The 18,939-nt window shown below is 52.8% G+C and overlaps 1 protein-coding gene across 4 annotated transcripts in view, besides 8 other annotated features; it reads left to right on the top strand.

Annotated features, from left to right (window-relative positions):
- Nucleotides 1-18,939, top strand: part of NIBAN2 (niban apoptosis regulator 2) — a 73,689-nt gene that overhangs the window by 13,181 nt on the left and 41,569 nt on the right. The window contains exons 1-2 of one of the 4 annotated variants that reach the window (XM_005252135.3): nt 3,942-4,242; nt 4,614-4,703. The exons of 2 other annotated variants lie outside the window; for them this stretch is intronic. In XM_005252135.3, the coding sequence (XP_005252192.3) occupies nt 4,059-4,242; nt 4,614-4,703 (274 nt within the window). In that variant the 5' untranslated portion in view covers nt 3,942-4,058. Of the gene's footprint in view, nt 1-3,941; nt 4,243-4,613; nt 4,704-18,939 lie in introns of those variants that run through there. One more of the 4 variants, XM_011518925.2, reaches the window with a different exon arrangement.
- Nucleotides 1,990-2,693: an enhancer, noted in NCBI's record as "H3K4me1 hESC enhancer chr9:130325437-130326140 (GRCh37/hg19 assembly coordinates)". NCBI's record gives its function as "activates a minimal SCP1, AML or CMV promoter by ChIP-STARR-seq in primed H9 embryonic stem cells {active_cell/tissue: H9 hESC(primed)}" and the evidence as "EXISTENCE:reporter gene assay evidence [ECO:0000049][PMID:30033119]".
- Nucleotides 2,694-3,398: an enhancer, noted in NCBI's record as "H3K27ac-H3K4me1 hESC enhancer chr9:130324732-130325436 (GRCh37/hg19 assembly coordinates)". NCBI's record gives its function as "activates a minimal SCP1, AML or CMV promoter by ChIP-STARR-seq in primed H9 embryonic stem cells {active_cell/tissue: H9 hESC(primed)}" and the evidence as "EXISTENCE:reporter gene assay evidence [ECO:0000049][PMID:30033119]".
- Nucleotides 3,218-3,377: a silencer, noted in NCBI's record as "fragment chr9:130324753-130324912 (GRCh37/hg19 assembly coordinates)". NCBI's record gives its function as "represses an EF-1alpha promoter that drives an FKBP-Casp9 reporter gene in an ReSE screen in HepG2 liver carcinoma cells {active_cell/tissue: HepG2}" and the evidence as "EXISTENCE:reporter gene assay evidence [ECO:0000049][PMID:32094911]".
- Nucleotides 4,104-4,808: an enhancer, noted in NCBI's record as "H3K27ac-H3K4me1 hESC enhancer chr9:130323322-130324026 (GRCh37/hg19 assembly coordinates)". NCBI's record gives its function as "activates a minimal SCP1, AML or CMV promoter by ChIP-STARR-seq in naive H9 embryonic stem cells {active_cell/tissue: H9 hESC(naive)}" and the evidence as "EXISTENCE:reporter gene assay evidence [ECO:0000049][PMID:30033119]".
- Nucleotides 9,487-9,781: an enhancer, noted in NCBI's record as "tiled region #14561; K562 Activating DNase unmatched - State 5:Enh". NCBI's record gives its function as "activates a minimal TATA promoter and a strong SV40 promoter by Sharpr-MPRA in K562 cells {active_cell/tissue: K562}" and the evidence as "EXISTENCE:reporter gene assay evidence [ECO:0000049][PMID:27701403]".
- Nucleotides 9,487-10,205: a biological region, named in NCBI's record as "Sharpr-MPRA regulatory region 14561".
- Nucleotides 9,610-10,205: an enhancer, noted in NCBI's record as "H3K27ac-H3K4me1 hESC enhancer chr9:130317925-130318520 (GRCh37/hg19 assembly coordinates)". NCBI's record gives its function as "activates a minimal SCP1, AML or CMV promoter by ChIP-STARR-seq in naive H9 embryonic stem cells {active_cell/tissue: H9 hESC(naive)}" and the evidence as "EXISTENCE:reporter gene assay evidence [ECO:0000049][PMID:30033119]".
- Nucleotides 13,296-13,795: an enhancer, noted in NCBI's record as "H3K4me1 hESC enhancer chr9:130314335-130314834 (GRCh37/hg19 assembly coordinates)". NCBI's record gives its function as "activates a minimal SCP1, AML or CMV promoter by ChIP-STARR-seq in primed H9 embryonic stem cells {active_cell/tissue: H9 hESC(primed)}" and the evidence as "EXISTENCE:reporter gene assay evidence [ECO:0000049][PMID:30033119]".

The raw sequence follows: 18,939 nt of genomic DNA, 5'->3' as shown, positions 1-18,939 counted from the left end.
AAGTGCTAGGATTACAGGTGTGAACTTCCCGCCCATGAACTAACATCTTTTTTTTTTTTTTTTTTTTTGAGACAGAGTCTCACTCTCTGTCCCAGGCTGGAGTCCAGTGGCACAATCTCAGCCCACTGCAACCTCCACCTCCTGGGTTCAAGTGATTCTCCTGCTTCAGCCCTCTGTTACAGGTACACACCACCATGCTTGGCTGATTTTGGTATTTCTAGTAGAGACGGGGGTTTCACCATATTGGTCAGGCTGGTCTCGAACTCCTGACCTCAGGTGATCCACCCTCCTCAGCCTCCCAAAGTGCCAAGATTATAGGCGTGAGCCACCACGCCCAGCCAAAAATAATAGCTTTATTGAGGCGTAATTCACCTACCATACAATTCAGCCACCTAAAGTGTACACTTCAGCGGTTTTTAGTATATTCACAGAATTGCGCAACCATTGCCACCATCAATGTTGGAGCATTTTCATCAGCCCGGAAAGAAATCCTCTACTCCTTAGTAGTCGCTCCTGTTTCCTCCTAGTCCCTCCTAAATCTAGGCAACCACTGAACATTTTGTCTAATTGCAAAAGTAATGTGTGCACAGGCCAGGCGTGGTGGCTCACGCCTGTAATCTCAGCACTTTGGGAGGCTGAGGAGGGCGGATTGCTTGAGCTGGGGAGTTCAAGACCAGCGTGGGCAACATGGCAAAGCCCCGTCTCTAGTAAAAATACAAAAAATTAGCCGGGCATTGTCGTATGCGCCTGTGGTTCCAGCTAATTGGGAGGCTGAGTTGGAAGGATTGCCTGAGCAAAAGTAACACATGTACAAACAATTTAGGAGGGTAAAATAAAACATGAAAACACCCTCCATCTTTCTCCGTTAAATCCCACTTCCCAGAAGAAGTCACTTAAGTGTGGTGTGTCACCATTTCCAAACCTACCTCTCTCTGTACATGCTCATAATAGCTTGGTTTATAAAAACAGATTTTTTTTTTTTTTTTGAGATGGCGTCTCACTCAGGCTGGAGTGCAGTGGCAAGATCTCAGCTCACTACAACCTCCGCCTCCCAGGTTCAAGCAATTCTCCTGCCTCAGCCTCCTGAGTAGCTGGGATTACAGGCGTGCACCACCATGCCCGGCTAATTTTGGTATTTTTAGTAGAGACAGGGTTTCACCATGTTGGCCAGGCTGGTCTTGAACTCCTGACCTCAGGTGATCCACCCACCTCGACCTCCCAAAGTTCTGGGATTACAGGCATGAGCCACCACGCCCAACCTATAAAAAGAGATATTACTCTATGCTTCTGTGGTTTGATTTTTTTCACTTGGTAAATTGGTGGACATCTTTCTGTGTCAGAACACACAAGACTACCTCATTCTTTTCTTGGTGAGTTCGTTTCTGTGCATGGATGGTTTGTCTACCCAGCCCTCTGTGAATGGGCATTTGGGTTGTTTCCACTATTTTGCTAGTATTCACAGTGCTGCTTGAACCTGCTGGTACAAACCCTCTGTAATATTCCAGTATCAGAGAGGCCCTGAAATGGAACTCCTGGGTCACCTTTTTTTTTTTTTTTTGATACAGAGTCTCATTTTGTTGCCCAGGCTAGAGTTCAGTGGCATGATCTCGGCTCATTGCAACCTCCGCCTCCTGGGTTCAAGCAATTCTCCTGTCTCAGCCTCCTGAGTAGCTGGGACTACAGGTGCCCACCACCACACCTGGCTAATTTTTGTATCTTTAGTAGAGATGGGGTTTTACCATATTGGTCAAGTTGGTCTCGAACTCTTGACCTCAGGTGATACATCTGCCTCAGCCTGCCAAATTGCTGAGATTATAGGCGTGAGCCACCATGCCCTGCCTGGGTCACCTTTTGATAGATGGACACATAGCCTTTAAGAAGGCAGCAGGCGTTTGACACTCTCCTGCTAAGATGGACCTTAGCATTGAGCATTTTCATCCTTTTGACAACCAGATATGAGAAGAAGGGTGTCTTAATTATTTATTGAGCAAAACAAATAATGCTTCTTTCCAAAGTGATTTTAAAAACTTACCTCTCTGCTGGGCGCGGTGACTCACGCTTGTAATTCCAGCGCTTTGGGAGACAGGCAGGCAGATCACCTGAGGTCAAGAGTTTGAGACCAGCCTGGCAAACATGATGAAACCACGTCTCTACTAAAAAATTAGCCGGGCCTGGTGGTGCGTGCCTGTAGTCCCAGCTACTTGGGAGGCTGCGGCACAAGAATCGCTTGAACCCGGGAGGTGGAGGTTGCAGTGAGACGAGATCGCACCATTGCACTCCAGCCTGGGTGACAGAGTGAGACTCTGTCTCAAAAAAAAAAAAAATCTACCTCTCAACATTTGGGAAGTGGCTGTAGATGCCAAGAGTGAAGGGATGGAGGGGTTCCACCTTCTGCCACCCCTCACCCTGCTGTGTGGCTTCCTCTTTGCTCCCCTGGACTTTGCAGAGAGACCAGGCTGGCCGGAAGCAGTGCCTGGGCCTGGGCCGCTGCCCTTAGCCAAGGTCCGGGTCAGCCCCTGGGGGCGAAGTGTCTGGGGATGATGCTGTCTCTCTGTTGGGTCTTATATAACATGCTTTTGTTGGCTTTGACCCTGCCTTCCCCTCCATCCAGCCTCCTCTAGTCCCCCTGACTCTGTTCCTTTTCCACTGCTGGGGCCTGAGTGCCGGCCTCGCCTACTCAGAGCTGCTCCAGCCTCCTCGGAGCCTCTAGTCCTTCCCACACACGCTGCCAAAGGGACCTTTCTAAACCCACGCGGGGCCATGGCTGCCCTCCCTGCTGTCCAAGGAGTGAAGCGGAAAAACAGGACTAGGAACCACTCACCCGCCGTCCTGCGATAACCACTTCATCCTCTGGGAGTACTTCCCATCTGTGTCGATCATTACACTTTACCGGGACCATGACTCAAGTTTGTGTCTTGCTTCTTTCACTACATGATCTATAGTAAACATCTCTCCCAGGTCATTAAAACCTCCCTGGAAGCATCCCCAAAGGCTGCATTTTATTCCATTTGAGGACAGAGGGTCACTTTCCCAGCTTTTTCCCTAATGCTGGACATGAGGTTGTTTCTCACATGTTGGTTTGTAGGGGCAAACAGAGCCACTGTGTGTGTTTCTTTTCTGGCTCCAGTCAACTTCCCTGTCGAAGACCGATTCATCTCCCAGCCCAACTCTTCCCGTGCTCTGCTTCCGCCAACCTGGGCATTTAGAGGGAGGCTCCTTCCTGCCATCTCTGAGCATCGTTCGGGGCTAGTGGGCTTGAAGGGGCTGCCTGTGTACTGGGGACGGGGACTGATGACCATGGCCTCTGGGTGTGTGGCCATAGAGTCTAGCCTGCGGTGTGTAGGAATGGATATATATTTTCTGTCTGAAGACATGGTTGATAGAGCAGGGAGGGGCAGTAATCAGGCTCGGAGTGATAACTGTAAACATTAGCAACGGTTTAACTGAGCACTTGCTATGTGCCAAGCCTTCCTTTGTCTGTATCATCTTATTGAATTCCCACCTCAGTGGCAGGCCTGGATCGGATAGTCCAAGGCCTTAGCTATTTAAACCACGTTCTGCTATTAGTATGTCATCCGTGGTGCCCAGACTGGGCAGGGGGACACTGAAAAAGGCCTCCAAGAGAGGTAAGCTTTCGGAGGCGGGGAGAGGAAGTGGGAGGAGGAGCCGAGTGGGAATAGAGCAGCTTGTGTCAGTCTCCCTCCCATAGGTTGCACAAATCTATCCCACCCGTCATTACTCAGTCTGAGACTCACAGCCTCTGACCAGCCCCATTCTCCGTCCCTGCGCCCCCCTCCTCCTTCCCCGCGGGCAGAGCTCATGACTCACTGCACCCCGGGCTCCTGCAAGCATCATCCTGCGGTTGCAGAAATTCCTGCACTGCTTTTTCCTTCCCCTGCCCCACCCCATCCACTTCTGTGCTGGAGGAAGAAGGGTATTCTGTAGACGCTGCTGGGCAGAGGTTTAAGGAAGGAGTCCGGGCAGATGCCTAGGTTTAAAACCCGTGAGGGTGGAGCAAAGCCATTCTCTTCTCCTGGTAGAATCTTAGGGCCTGAGTCATGGAAGGGTACAATCTTTTGATCTCAAAAATTTTAAAACTGGAAGAACAGGAAGTGTCCACCCCCTGGGACTGGTCCCATTTTTTTGGAGCTGGGCTGCTTCTGGCCCACGAAGGTGAAGGGGCCTGCCTGGTGACGTGGTGGATGGTAAGCCTGAAGAAGCAGGGAGCCCAGAGGTTTTGGGGTAAGGCTTTGCAGTCAGACTGGGTTTGAGTCCTGGCTCTGCCACTGGATGGACTGGTGTTCGGGGGCAAGTTAGTCAACCTGTCTGAGTCTTAGAGCCCTCCTTACATGAGGATGAGAGTTCTGGCATCTCAAGGTATGAAGGTCAAGTCCCCTGGTCAGCGCAGAACAGTGTTGGTGGGAGGTGACAATATGTGAGTGGTAGCTGTTATGATTGTGACTTTATTGAGCTAACTTGACACCCAGGGAGATGTGTCTGGTCTGTCTGTGGCCTCGTGCATCCCCTGCTCCCTGCCATGTGCTCCAGGAAGTTGACATGACCCACTCCTTTCCTAAGCAGCCCTAAATATGAGAATCTTCTTCCCTTCCAAGGTCAGAGGAGCACCAGCCTATGGCCCTGGACCCCTGGGGTATTCAGCGAGTTCCTGGAGGACGGTGGGATGGGGCTGTGGTTCCAGCAAGGTCAGTCACTCCGCAGCAGCATCCACTCTGTGCCTGGCATTTGGCAGTGCACAGAGGAAAAGGGTTAGAAGATGGATGGGAACATGCTCCCTCCTTGCCCACCCATGTGTCAAGAACTAGACTTGTAAGCCTTAAGCCTGGTCCCATTGACCACTTGCTGTGTGACTCTGGACCCAATGGCCATGCCTCTCTGTGCCTTTTCTCCCTGTCTGTGACCTCAAGGCCAGTATCTACTCTTGGGAATTCTCTGCCTCTGAAAACCCTTTTGTAGGGGTCTCAAGATGCCTTCCAAAGGCAGGGCTGGTGGCTTCTATGTAGAAATAGAGGTGCATGCCTGTGAGACCATCAAGGGGTGTGATGAGCTCTGGCCCCCAACACACGTAGTCCTTATTTCTTGTATGAATTCAATCAATAGTTATTGAACACCTTCTGTGTGCCCGGCGCTGTGCTGGGCACCAGGGACACGCAGCTACACAATCACATGGTGTCTGCCTGTGTGTGCTTCCTGGCTGGCTGTCCCTCCTCAGGGCAAGCAATGTTCCCAAAGGGAAAGGCCTTCCTTGGGAAGGTGTAAGGGAGACTGGCCTGGGGTGGGCCAGCCTGCTGGGACTCAGGATGGGGGAGGTAGAGGGAAACACAAAGGCTGGTCTTGGCGAGGAAGGGCCTTTGTCCTTAGGGTCCCAGGGAGGCCTTGGAGGCATTTTCAGGCAGAAGTGGCACCGGTGGGTCAGCTGTGAGTGAGTGTGGATGGGAGGAGGTGAACCCCATGGTGAGAGGGACTGGACCTGCGTGTGTGGGGGTCGGGTGCAATGAGGGATATGTGTGTACAGGGTGGGTGGCGTGGCCAGGCCTCAGTGATGGTGCTGTGCAGGGCTGGGGCGAGCTGATGTACGTGACTGTTGGCTACAGGGAAACCTGTCTGGATTCTGTAGGTTGTTTTATCAAGGCAGACCTTCAACCACTGGTCTTGCAGCCTCTGCTCCCACTCCTCTAGTGACAGGAAACTCAGTCCTTTCCCAGGCAACCCTGAAAATGAGAACCTTCTTCCCCTCCAAGGGCAGAGTAGAAAGAGGCCGGGAGTCAGAGGACCTGGTTTGAGATGCTGTCAGGACTGCCCTGTCATTTGGCAGCTGCCCTCCCTTCTCTGGACCTCAAATTCCTCATCTGTAAAGTGGACACAGCAGTATCCCAGGCCCCTGAGGCTGTTGTGCAGGGTCGGTGAGATGATGTGGCCTTAGCTCTTTGTGCTTAGGGAGCATCGGCTCCTGGTTCATCCACTGTTACCGTTCTATGTGGTTCACATAGGACATTGGCCAAGGGAGGCCCTCCTCTTGCAGATCAGAAGTGCCGGGTGTGGGTCAGGGTGCTGGGTAGAGGGTCCACGTGCAGGGGTGGGGGCCCAGGGAGTAACTGGGCATCCAGGAGGGGAGGAAGAATGAACTGTGGTTTGCAAAGTGCAGACCCCACTTTCCCACCTGCCCATCTGTGGCCAAGCCAACTGCAGCTGCTGTCCATCTTTCCCATGCCCCATGCTGAGCAGAACTATTTGTGTCCAGCCGAATTTGTGAAGCTTAGCACCTTCTAGAAGAGGAGTCCCTTGGGAAGAAGCTGCCCACCCACTCGTGCTCCAGTCACCTCTGATTTATTCCACCTGCCAGGAACCACTGGTGGGTGCGGGCTAGGAGGCAGGCTCCCCAGGATGGGTGCCTGGAGGCCTCTGACAAGCCCTTCCTTTTCTCTGTGCCTCCTCCTCACTTTGCCTATCTGTGCAACGGGCATGCACTTCCAGCTGTGACCCCTTAGGAACCTGTGGGCCTTAGGCTGCACTGAAGGCACAGAGCAGGTGCAGCACCTCCACATTGCAGGAGGCCATCTTGCCGTTGAAGGAAGAGCTTGCTCTGAAAGCTGTCCTGTTCCTGGCCTGAGCTGGGAACTGGGGACAAAGCAGTGACATGAGCCCTGATCTCATGGAACTCATGCCAGCCAAGAAGGTTCCATCAAGCTGGATGTGCTGTGGCTCATGTTACAAAGCCCGTGGATCTTTGTTTCCCAGAGTGTATGTTGGTTTCAGCACTCAGTCGGCCCATCTCAAGAGGCAGCGTGTCTGGCTTTGACCTGGTGGCAGTATGCTTCTGTCACTGAAAGCTGTGTGGCCTTCGGCACACAGCTCTCCTCCTTGGAGGTCCAGTTGTCGCTAAGATGGGATTGGTGCTCCCTGCCTTTGGGCTGGGTGAAGGTTCTGGGAGGTGCACTGCGCAGTTCCTGGCCTGTGCAGGGTGCTCAGTAAATGGCAATTGCGTTTTAGCTGAATTCTTAGGGAAGCTGTGTGTCCTTTGCCCGGCCTGTCAGAGATTTAAGGGGTGATTCAGGCATCTAGAGGAGGAGGGAGCTGACAATTGCACTTCTGTTTTGCTTTTTGTTTTTGCTTTTTTTGAGAGCAGTATTCTCTGGGAGGCGAAGGGTAGAAAAGAGAGCTGAGTTTGAGCTTTGGGGTGGGCAGGCCTGATGGGCTGGGGAAGGTGTGTGCCTCTCACCCTACCACACCTCCCCTAGCCCTGCCTTGATTTTTGAGGTGCTGATGAGAAGTGTCTGCTTTTCTTTTTCAGGCCCAGACCCTTCCTCGTCCTAGTTCTGGAGGACCCCATGAGCTCCTCTAACCAATCCCCTCCTTTTTCTCATGCCCCAGTAAACTGAGGCCCAGGAAGATGATGGGACATGCCTATGCTCTCAGGGGCACCAGAGCTTGGCTGGAACCCAGGGCCTTGACCCCAGCATGAAGCTTTTCCCTCTCCGACTTCGTACTCCCACCCCCCGCACCCGTGCAGGGCCCCAGACGGCAAGGGATGGTGAGGGAAGGAATGATTGGGCCGGGTGGGGCTGCAGAACTTATAATTATGAAAACTGGGTAAACAAACAAGCTCTCTGGGAGAGAAGCAAGCCCTGTGCGGGCCTCACAGATGGGCCTGTGTCCGAGGAGACAGCCCAGGCCCGTCTATGCGCAGACAGTGAGGGGCTGTGTTGGACTTAAAAAGCCAAAGCCACACTCCCCTCCCACCCCCACTCCTATATTTCAGGCTGCCAGGAAAAGAGGAGGGGGAAGGGGCAGCCCTTTCTTCCAAGGAGGTAGGGGCTGACCCCCTAGGACTCTCCTGGGGTCAGCCCTCCTGGCCCAGCTTGGGACAGTCACAGCTCACTGTGTGACCTTGGTCAAGGGGCGTCTCTCCTCTGGGCCTCAGTTCCCCATCTCTAGAGTGGAGGTCACCCCATCTCTCAAGGAGGGTGGCAGGATGGGGAAAGATTTGAGCCAACTGGTTGAATACACTGAGCCCTTTCACTCACCCTGACCCGAGGCCAACTGGGATCTCAGAAACTCTTCATTTCTCTCTGGCCAGAGGCAGGGGCCCCTCTTGGAGCAGAGGAGTGACTTTCTCAGTGACCTGAGAGCCGGCCTGGTCCTGGGAGGCCAAACCTCCAATCCTGGCCTGACTTTAGCAGGCTGCCCAGCTCAGCTTTCCTGTCTTCCTGCTGAGATTGTGGCAGAATCCGAGAGGAGCTGTTTCTGGTGCCTGCCCTGCAGGCTGGGGGCTGGGCAGCTTGCCCTGCCTGGAGGCCCCCGGGTGGAGCCTGGCAGACTTCCTGTGCAATTGGGGCTGAGCCCCCGCCCTCCCTCCCCTCTTCCTGCAGTCCCCTGTGTGGCTTCTGGGAGTCCAGCTCTGTAGATGGGAGGCCGGTCCTGCTTCAGACCTCTGTGGCCTTGGGTGAACTCCTGCCTCTCCTCCAAGCCTCAGTTTCCCCCATGGTTCAATGGAGGGGTTGGATAAGAGCCTCTGGTAGTAGAGTGACCTTGCTACTAACCATGTGTCACCCTCCTTCAGACTGACCCTTCCAGGCTGTCCTGTGCCCTCGAGGTCAAGCCCAGACCCTGAAATGCCCTCACAGACCAAGCCCTGCAGCCAGTAGCCCCACTCCTGGTAGGCTGGATCAGGCTCTTCCTCTGAGCTCCCACAGCCCCTTGGCCACCCGTGTGTACCTGTAGCCCTTCTCACATGGTTGTGATTCATTTTTGTTTTTGAGACAGGGTCTTGCACTGTTGCCCAGGCTGGAGTGCAGTATTGCAATTATAGCTTACTGCAGCCTCAACCTCCCGGGCTCCGGCAATCCTTCTGCCTCAGTCTCCCCAGTAGCTGGGACCCCAGGTGTGCACCACCACATGGGGCTAATTTATTTTTATATTTTGTATAGGCAGAGTCTCCCTGTGTTACCCAGGCTGGTCTCAAACTCCTGAGCTAAGCCATCCTCCTGCCTGGCCTCCCAAAGTGCTGGGATTACAGGTGTTTGAGCCACCACGCCCAGCCCGTGGTTGTGATTCTAATTCCCATCTGTGATATGAGTACCTGCGGGCTAACTCACCATGGGCTCCCCTGAGGTGGACAGGTGGCCTCACAGCTCAGACTTGCTCCACCAGCAGCTGAACAAGTACCCTAGGTCAGGCTTTATGCCTTAGTTTCATTGGCTGTAAAATGGGCATGATGATGCTTCTACTCCACTGGATTGTAAAGGTTATTAAATTATGTGTGTAAAGCACAAGAAATGCTGAGGAGTCAATAACTGTAATGAACATTTATTAGTGCAAATTGTTTTAGTTCCCTAGCAGGAATGAATGAATGAATGAATGAATGAATGAATGAATGCCATTGCAAGGTCCTACATCCTGGGAGCATGGGGATCCCAAAGCTCTCTGGATGAAGGTCCTGGTAGGTGCAGAATGTGTGTGTGTGTGGTTGGTGGGGGTTGGTTACAGAGGGGCAGGGCAGATGTGGGAGGGGCTTGGGGTGGTGACGTACCCCCTGCCCTTGTGGAAGGAGTGGTTTGGGCCCCTCCGTGTCTCAGACCCGCAGGCACGAAGCCATGTGGCCATCCACAACTTCCTTCCTCCTGCCTGTATTCCTCGAAGCGTGACTCACTGGCTTTGAGCCCTTCATTCTTGTCCTTGAGCCCCGAGGGTGAGGCGGGTAGAGTCTTTCTTGGAAGGGCGGCTCTCTCTCTGGGTTCCTGTCTATTCCTGGCCCTTCTGCAGCTTCTGAGCATGACAGGCAGGGATGGAGGGGTGCGGGTAGGGTGGGGTGGACACCTGGGCCCTGGTCCTGGTGGCCCCACTGACCCCATGTGTGTCAGGCTTGGGGTGGGCACCCACTGAGGGCCCACCCAGGGCTTGGATCTGAGCTGGTGTGGCTGAAACAGCCCAGTCAAGCTCACCTGGGCCCTGCCCCTGTAGAGCTCCTGTCTGGTCAGGAGACACACAGAACAACTACCACTCAGTCATTAATTAAAATCATTACCGGAGGGCGAATTGCTATAAAGAAATGGCCACTCTTCCCTGGGAGCTCACGTGTCCTGGGATCTCCCCAGCAGTGCCTGTGGTTTGCTCTCCTGTCACAGAGGAGGAAACACAGCCCACTGAGTGGGAAAGGGAGCAGGCTCAGCTCTGGGGCAAGTCCTGTGCCCACCTGGGGCCTCAGGATCTCGTCACCCATCTTAGAGGTGTGCTGTTCACGTGACCCTCCTGCCTTGGCCTCCCAAAGTGCTGGGATTACAGACGTGAGCTGCCGCTCCCCACTAGGGAATGCTGTTCAGGAGGCCCAGGGTCCGCCGCTGGCCCCCCATGGTTCTGGGTGGGCGGGCTGGCTTCGGGGTTTTAGCCTGGGGACTGTGGAACTGCAGCGAGAGCTGGGTTTGTTGTCTTTAAATCCCTCCTTTGTGTGTCCCTAGACAGAAACCACTGTGACTAAAGTATTGGGATCTTCTAAAGGCTAGGCAGGAAATGGGGGCTGGTAAGGGTGGTCGTCCCCCTTCCCACTCCCTCCACCAATACACAGGACAGCAGAAAGGTGGCCCAAAGCCCTGGGAGAAACCCACCCCAACATTTCACATCTAGAATGTACCGCGTTAGGTAACAAAATGGTTACATTACAGCATGGGGGATGGAATGGAAACAATGTATTAACAGGCATTGTTCAATGGCATAATATGAAGCCATTAAAAGTGATGATTCAGTTTTGTATGTCTGAAAGTGTGTATGTTTGTATAGGCATAGAACAAAATAAGGAAAGAAATTCACCAAAATATAAATAGAGGTTATTTTGGAGTGGTGGGATAATGGATTATTTTAATTTTTTTATTCTCTCCTGATTTTTGTTTTTTGTTTTTTGTTTTTTTACAGTGAGTGGATTAAATCAAAAAGAATAACCTGGGTGGGTGCAGTGGTTCAGGCCTGTAATCCCAGCATTTTGGTGGCTCACGCCTGTAATCCCAGCACTTTGGGAGGCTGAGGTGGGCAGATCACCTGAGGTCAGGAGTTTGAGACCAGCCTGGCCAACATGGTGAAACCCCCACCCCCCGTCTCTACTAAAAATACAAAAATTAGCCGGGCATGGGGTTGCACACCTGTGGTCCCAGCTACTCGAGAGGCTGAGGCAGGAGGATTGCTTTAACTTGGGAGGCTGAGATTGCAGTGAGCCAAGATCGTGCCATAGCACTCCAGCCTGGGTGACAGAGCAAGACCCTGTCTCAAAAAGCAAAAAAAAAAAAAAAAAAAAAAAGAAAAAGAAAAAGAAAAGAATAACCCTATTGACTGTATTTAGTGGAACAATTTGATTCCTGTCTGACTTCAGAATCTAAGCCATTCTGGCCCGACTGGAGCCCCAAGGGGGTTGCAAGCACAGGGCAGGCTCCGGAGCGGGGAAGAGGGAAGAGAAAATTCTGGAAGAGGGGTGTTTGAGCTCAATCTTGGAGGACAGGAGGGATTTTTAACCAGCAGACTTGGGGTAAGGGTGAGTGGAGGGCATGGCCTGGCATAGACCCTTGCTTATCCAAGGCAGGGAGCTGAGCACAGCCTTGAGTGCCAGGCAAAGGGGTTGGGGAATGGAGAGTCCTTCCCATGAACACTTGTTAGCTGGACTTTAGAATGAGGACTCAGTTTCTGTGATGAGGGCAAGGAGAGCAACAAATTTGTGTTAGGTAGGCTCTGTCTGTGTGCCCAGCCTCTGAGCCCCCAGTGGCTGTGAGCAGATAGGACTGTGGTAGTTTAGCCCAGAGATGGCAGATGGATTCCACAAATAAAGAGTCTCTCTCCGTGATGAGTGCTGAAGGCCGGGCGTGGGTGGGGGCATTGGGGTGGTGAGGAGTGGTTGGGTACCATCCAACTGGGAAAGCCTATGACCCATCAGACCTCCAGTCCGGAGGTGTCCCTGCTAAGTAAAAAAAAATTAGCCAGGCATGGTGGCACAAGCCTATAGTCCCAGCTACTCTGGAGGCTGAGGTGGGAGGATTGCTTGAGCCCAGGAGGTTGAGGCTGCAATTAGCTGGATCATGCTACGGCTCTCCAGCCTGGGCAACTGAGCAAGATAGGGCTCCAGGCCAGACAGAGCTCCAGGTCCCCAGGGTAATATGCACAGGATGCTGGTACCTGGCATAGAACTTGGGTGGCCAGAAGCATGCGCTGCACGAGGCTGAGCACGAAGACCCCATTCTGCTGTGTTTAGGGCTTCCCTTCCGCCTGTCTCCATGATGACCTCAGCTCTCTGCTTTCCCTTACCCATCTGTAGCACAGGGATGGTTGCAGCTACCTTCAAGAGGGTTGTTGTGAGCTTCATGCCAGGGCCACCCCTGGTACCTGGCACACAGCAAATACTCAGGAAGAGTTTCCGTCCTCGGGGTTCAGTCCCCAGCCAGGGAACTCCTTCCCTCCTGGAGGAGCCTCAGCAGCCTGAACTTGATGGCCAGGATGGTATTATATCAGGTTGCTTGGCGGTGAGCTCTGGCCTCCCCCTCAGACCCACTGTGGCTCCCACCTGGCAGCATCTGCCAAAGGTCAGGTTCTCACAGCTCTGGAGGTTTGGCCTTTCAACTTTGAGCTTCCCCAGTCTTCCCCCTTTATTGTTTTTCACCTTTTATTATTATTGTTACATAAGCAATAGCTAGTGGTCAAAGAAAATTAGAAAATAACAGATAAGTAATAGGAAGAAAATGAAAATCACCGATAATCCTACCACCCAGAAAAGACTTTCAGGCACCTTCCTGATACATAATTTGTTCTTCTACCTTAATAGTGAGTAGTGGGCCTCCTCCTTGTGAATGGATACAGAATATTCCATTATGGCTGAGCAAGGAGGCTAATGCCTGTAATCCCAGCATTTTGGGAGGCTGAGACAGGCGGATCACCTGAGGTCCGGAGTTGGAGACCAGCCTGGCCAACATAGTGAAACCCTGTCTCTACTTAAAATACAAAAATTAGCCAGGCGTGGTGGTGGTGGACACCTGTAATCTCAGCTACTTGGGAGGCTGATGCAGGAGAATTGCTTGAACCCAGGAGGCAGAGGTTGCAGTGAGCTGAGATCACACCACTATACTCCAGCCTGGGTGACAGAGCAAGACTCTGTCTCAAAAAAAAAAAAAAAAAAAAAACGAATATTCCATTACGCCTCAATAGTCTATATTTTAACTTACTCAGTCAAAGCCCTATTGCCAGGCAGTTAGGCTTTTTCTATTTTTCTTTTTTGTTTGTTTGTTTTTGAGATGGCATCTTGCTCTGTTGCCCAGGCTTGAGGGCAGTGTCACCATCATGGCCAATTGCAGCCTCAATCTCCTGGGCTCAAGCAATCCTCCCACCTCAACCTCCCAAGTAGCTGGGACTACAGGCTTGTGCCACCATGCCTGGCTAATTTTTTAAAAAAATTTTCGTAGAGATGGATTCTCACTTTGTCATCCAGACTGGTCTGAAACTCCTGGCCTTAAGTGATCCTCCTGCCTCAGCCTCCCAAAGTGCTGCGATTACAGGCATGAGCCATGGTGTCCGGCTCTATTTTTTGTTGTTGTAAACAGTGCTGTGTTGGAAAGCTTAAATCAATTAATGGGATTGAGCCATTGATTCCGCATGGTTTGAGAGCCATCTCTGCTCAGTGTCAGGCTGTGTGCTGGGACTGGGGGTGCTGGGTGGGGAGGCGGCCATGGTCCTCAACCTCTTGGGGACCCCTGTCTGGGGAAGACAGGCCCAGCATGGCACGCCAGCAGAGGTGGGGGTTTAGGGCATCTTTGGGAGCCAGGGAGCAGCCATAACCCAGACCTGGAGAGTCATGGGAGGCCCAGCTGAGGACACCTGCAGCTGGTGACCTGAGGGTGGGGCAAGCCCTGCACCTGCTGCTGGCTGAGCTCATGGGAGGGGACCTCTCAGGTGAGCCACAAAGGATACAGGAGGAGAGAGTTTCAGGCAGAGGGCAGGTCTGCAGAGGCCCAGAGTAGACAGAGCATGGGCATTGAGGGAACCAAAACTTCCCAGAGATCGGTGCTGTGGTTCTTGCCAGCCTGGCAGCAGCTCCCATGTGCATGACACTGTGGTAGTTCTTTTCTTTTTCTTTCTTTCTTTCTTTTTTTTTTAAGATGGAGTTTTGCTCTTGTTGCCCAGGCTGGAGTGCAGTGACGTGATCTCAGCTCACTGCAACCTCCGCCTCCTGGGTTCTAGCAATTCTCCTGCCTCAGCCTCCCAAGTAGCTGAGACTACAGGCATGTGCACCACGCCTGGCTAATTTTGTATTTATTTATTTATTTATATTTTTATTTATTTATTTTTGAGACAGAGTCTCGCTCTGTTGCCCAGGCTGGAGTGCAGTGGCGCAATCTCTACTCACTGCAACCTCTGCCTCTTGGGTTCAAGCGATTCTCGTGCCTCAGCCTCCCAAGTAGCTGGGATTACAGGTGCCCACCACTGTACCCAGCTAATTTTTGTGTTTTTAGTAGAGACGGGGTTTCACCGTGTTGCCCAGGCCGGTCTTGAACTCCTGATCTCAGGTGATCTGCCCATCTCAGCCTCCCAAAGTGCTGGGATTACAGGTGTGAGCCACAGCACCCTGCCAATTTTGTATTTTTAGTAGAGACGGGGTTTCACTATGTTGGCCAGGCTGGTCTCGAACTCCTGACCTCAGGTGATCCACCCACCTTGGCCTCCTAAAGTGTTGGGATTACAGACATGAGCCACCGCACCTAGCCGGTAGTTTTTTTTCAAAGTGCCGTTCCATCTGTCCCTTTGTGCGGTGGGGATCACTGGCTTCCCTTTTCTTAATGGGAACACAGAAGCAGAGTGACGTGCGTGCCCCAGGGAAGTGGCTGGCGGACCCAGGCCTTTCACCGGCCCAGCACACGGGACAGGGGGTTGAAGTGCAGGATCCGCCAGCTCTGGTTTCCCGGCTCTTTGCAGGTGCTGGATCACTTGACAGGATCCAAGCAGGAAGAGGACGCGGAGGATCTGAGCTTAGGTGACCGCCTTAGTTTCCATGAGGAGGTAGTGACCTTTTCTGCTGCTGATATGTGACCTTGGCCTGGCCCAGCCCCAAACCCAGCCCTATATTTGCAGGAAGGGTCCTGCCTCTTGGGCCATACTGGGATTGGAGAGGCCCTGGTTTATATGGACCTTGGGGGCTGGGAAGTGTCTGTCCCCAAGCTGGAGTTAACCTTTCTGGGAATATGCCATCCTCCTCTGGTGTCTTAACATGACTGGGAGACTGAACTGCAGAGCTCTGGTCTAATGTCACATAGTCAGGGGATAAATATTTCTGTGCAAAGTGCTGTGCTAGATGCTGGGCATATGTTATGAGTGAGACAGACAGGGTCCCTGCCCTCCTAGGGCAAATGGAGATGGAACAATGAATTATTAAAGCAAAGTTGTGCTAATGACTAACAGGGGTCTGACCTGTGTGAGCGAGCTGGCAACAGTCAGGGACAGTGCTTTTCAGCACCCTAGGCTGGCAGTTAGGACTCAGGTCAGTTCTATCAAGGCTTAATGGTGGGCTCCTCTGGGCTTCCCAATGTGTCAGGAAGGAGCGTTGTCTCATGTCCCAGGTGGAGGGCATCAGGGCGTTGAGGGTCCAGCACCATGGTGTCCAGTCCCTTCACGGTACGGGGAGGAGACAGGGAGCCAGGAAGGGTGGGGGGCTTGTCCAGGGTCACTCAGCAGCAGTCAGGTACATGGATTTGGGGCCCAGTGCTCTTAGCCCTGTATCACCACCCCATTTCACTGGCCAGTGATGGGGAGACACTGAGGCGGTCCCCACTCACCCTCAAGGGACTCCCCCGGGGAAGCAGACCAAGACCACAGAGGCTGTTGGCTGCGCAGGGTCTCTCAGGGCGCACAAATGGGGTCACGCAGGCACCTGGGACAGAGAGTGGGAGGCTGGCGGGGCTGGGAGGGGAGCCGTTCTCCCACCTCCCCTTCTGGCCCCCTCTGGAGCCTGAGGACACCTGCAGCTGGTGACCTGAGGGTGGGGCAAGCCCTGCACCTGCTGCTCGCTGAGCTTAGAGTACAGACCAAGGGAGTCTTGTTATTTGAATAAACTTTCCTTCTATCCATGTAAAGGGTCCCTGGCATTCCAATCTGGGATTGGGTTTCCTCTGGCCCAGCAGCAAGCACACGAGTGGATTTTCATATTGGCTCATCTTTCTTGTTCTCTTCTTCCCCTTCTTTCCCTCCCTGGCTTTGAGAAGGCAGAATCGCCCCTCCCCAGTCCCACTCACTGAGAGGACCCTGCAAGCCAGAAGCTGCAGGCAGCAGCATGCATGTGTGTGCACATGTGTAAGTGTGCGTATGTGTGTGAGTGGATGCACGGTGTGTGAGTGTACATGTGTGTGGGCATGCACATGTGTGAATGTGCGTGTGTGTGCCTGCACATGTGAGTGCATGCGTGTGGGCGTGCATGTGAGTGTGTGTGCGTGCATGTGCATGCACATGTGAGTGCATGTGTGTGGCATGCATGTGAGTGTGAGTGTGCATGCGTGTGGGCATACACGTGTGTGTGAATGGTGGGTGAGCAGGGGTCACGAGGCAACTTGGGAAGAACCTGACTTGGGCTTAGGGAAAGGATATTAGCAGTAGAGGGTGCTTGGCTGATGAGATCTGTGGGGTTTGTGTATCCGAGTTTAGTCCTTTTCCATTGGGGTTGGGCCATGGTGACTGGCACTTATTAGCTGTTAGTTCTTATTGGAACAGAAGCTGGCATTTATTGGGCTCTTCCTGGGAGTCAGGCAGGGTGACAGGTGCATCTCACACATCTTATTTAGTCCTCACACCAACTCTTGGAGGTGGGTGCTCTTTGACCCTCCAGCCTCTGCTTACACACCTCCAGTGATGAGGCCTTCCCTACCCGCCAGGGTCCCTTATCCTGGGCATCTGAGGCCGTTAGAAAGCCCTTGCTGGGATCTTGTGTGTCTTCTGTGGATGACTTGAGAATGGGCTCTGCTTGGCAATAGGGCGTGGCTACGGCTGGACTTCCCCAGCGTCTGTTTTCCAGGGAACTGTCCAACTCTAAGGTTTGGGGAGAGGAACAAGTCCTCCCTCCTTTCCCTGAGCAGCCCCTATGTGGTACTTAGCCCGTCACAGCTTCATTCATCACATACCAAGCAAGTCTGAAGCTTAATGTTGAAACCCTAGAGGTATTTTCATTAGCATCGATCTGGATGTCTTAGTCAATGCAATAAGAGAAGAGAGAAAAAAAGAGAAGTACAAATGCAAGACAGCGGGAAAGCCCTCATGGAGTTCAGGGACTGGTGACAACAAAGCACTGTTGGTCTTTGGACTTCTCCACCCCCTAAGGCTGCCTACAGGAAGCAGAGTCTTGGAGAGACCAGAACTTGCCCAGGGCCACACGTGAGTTGGCGGCAGAGCTGGACGAGGACTCAGGGCCCTTGATTTTCCCAACCAGCATCTCTGGTGATGGATGCAGCAGCTAAGGGAGAGGCGGCAAGGCCAGAGTGTTCTCCATGCCAGTGTCACAGAGCAGGGGGGCTGTGGTCGGTCGAGGTTCTCAGGGGTGCGGTACGTTTGGGTGTTGGCTTTCAGAAGTCTTCATTGATGTTTCTTGCTCCACTTCTCCTTCCTGATGAATTAACCTGAGAGATGAGGGTCCAGAAAGATTGGACCCCAAGCATGTCACCTTTTAATCTCATGACCCACCAGCTGAGGGACCAGGGAGGTGCTGTTCCAGTCACCCTTTGCTGGTTCCCATTGCGTGGCGTGAAACATGGGACAGAGAACTGCCATGAGCACTGATGAGAGATGCCACTGGGCACCCTGACCATTTATGTCCTGGCCACCAATACTGGGACAGATGGAGCTCCTTCGAGAGGTTCCATCACTGCCATTGATAACACCAGCCCACATTTGCCCAGGCTCTGTGGGTTTATTCATTTCATTGAATCCTTATGACACCTTGCAAGATGGGGGATCGTAAAGTTGCTGGGTTTTTTTTGTTTGTTTTTTTGTTTTTGAGGTGGAGTTTCGCTCTTGTTGCCCAGGCTGGAGTGCAATGGTGCGATCTCTGCTCACTGCAACCTCCACCTCTAGGGTTCAAGCGATTCTCCTGCCTCAGCCTCCTGAGTAGCTAGGATTACAGGCATGCGCCACCACACCTGGCTACTTTTGTATATTTAGTAGAGGCAGGGTTTCTCCATGTTGGTCAGGTTGGTCTCGAACTCCCGACCTCAGATGATCTGCCCACCTTGGCCTCCCAAAGTGCTGGGATTACAGGCGTGAGCCACCGTGCCCGGTGGTGCTGTTTTTTGTTGTTGTTGTTGTTGTTGTGTTTTTTGAGATGGAGTCTCGCTCTGTAGCCCAGGCTGGAGTGCAGTGGCGCGATCTCAGCTCACTGCAACCTCCACTTCCTAGGTTCAAGCGATTCTCCTGCCTCAACCTTCCGAGCAGTTGGGATTATAGGCATGCGCCACCATGCCTAGCTAATTTTTGTATTTTTAGTAGAGACGGTGTTTCACCATGTTGGCCAGGCTGGTCTCAAACTCCTGACCTTAGGTGACCTCCCAAAGTGCTGGGATTATAGGCGTGAGCCACCGCACCTGGCCAGGTTGCTGTTACTCCCATGTTACAGCTGAGGAAACAGAGGTTCAGAGAGAATTGAGCCATGTGTTGCTGAAAGTCCTATAGCCAGCAAAGGGTGGAGTTAGGATTTGAACTGAGATCTGGTTCCAGGACCTTGACACTGCACTGTTGAAGGGTCCTTCTTGACCTAGGACGTGCTGATAAATCTTTGTGGAATGGATTAACTCTTTCATGCCTGTCCGAATCTTGGCCTTTCTCGGGTCTTCTGCTTGGCACACACTCCCTTCCCGGTGTCCTCCCTCCCCTAGCAGGGACTCTTTGTGTCTCAGCTGCTACCTCCCTCTGGGAGGCTTCCGTGAC

This window comes from Homo sapiens, chromosome 9 (genome assembly GCF_000001405.40).
Source record: "Homo sapiens chromosome 9, GRCh38.p14 Primary Assembly".
Classification (NCBI taxonomy): domain Eukaryota; kingdom Metazoa; phylum Chordata; class Mammalia; order Primates; family Hominidae; genus Homo; species Homo sapiens.
Note: the sequence above shows the minus strand (reverse complement) of the source record. Positions and strands in the feature narration are given on the sequence as shown.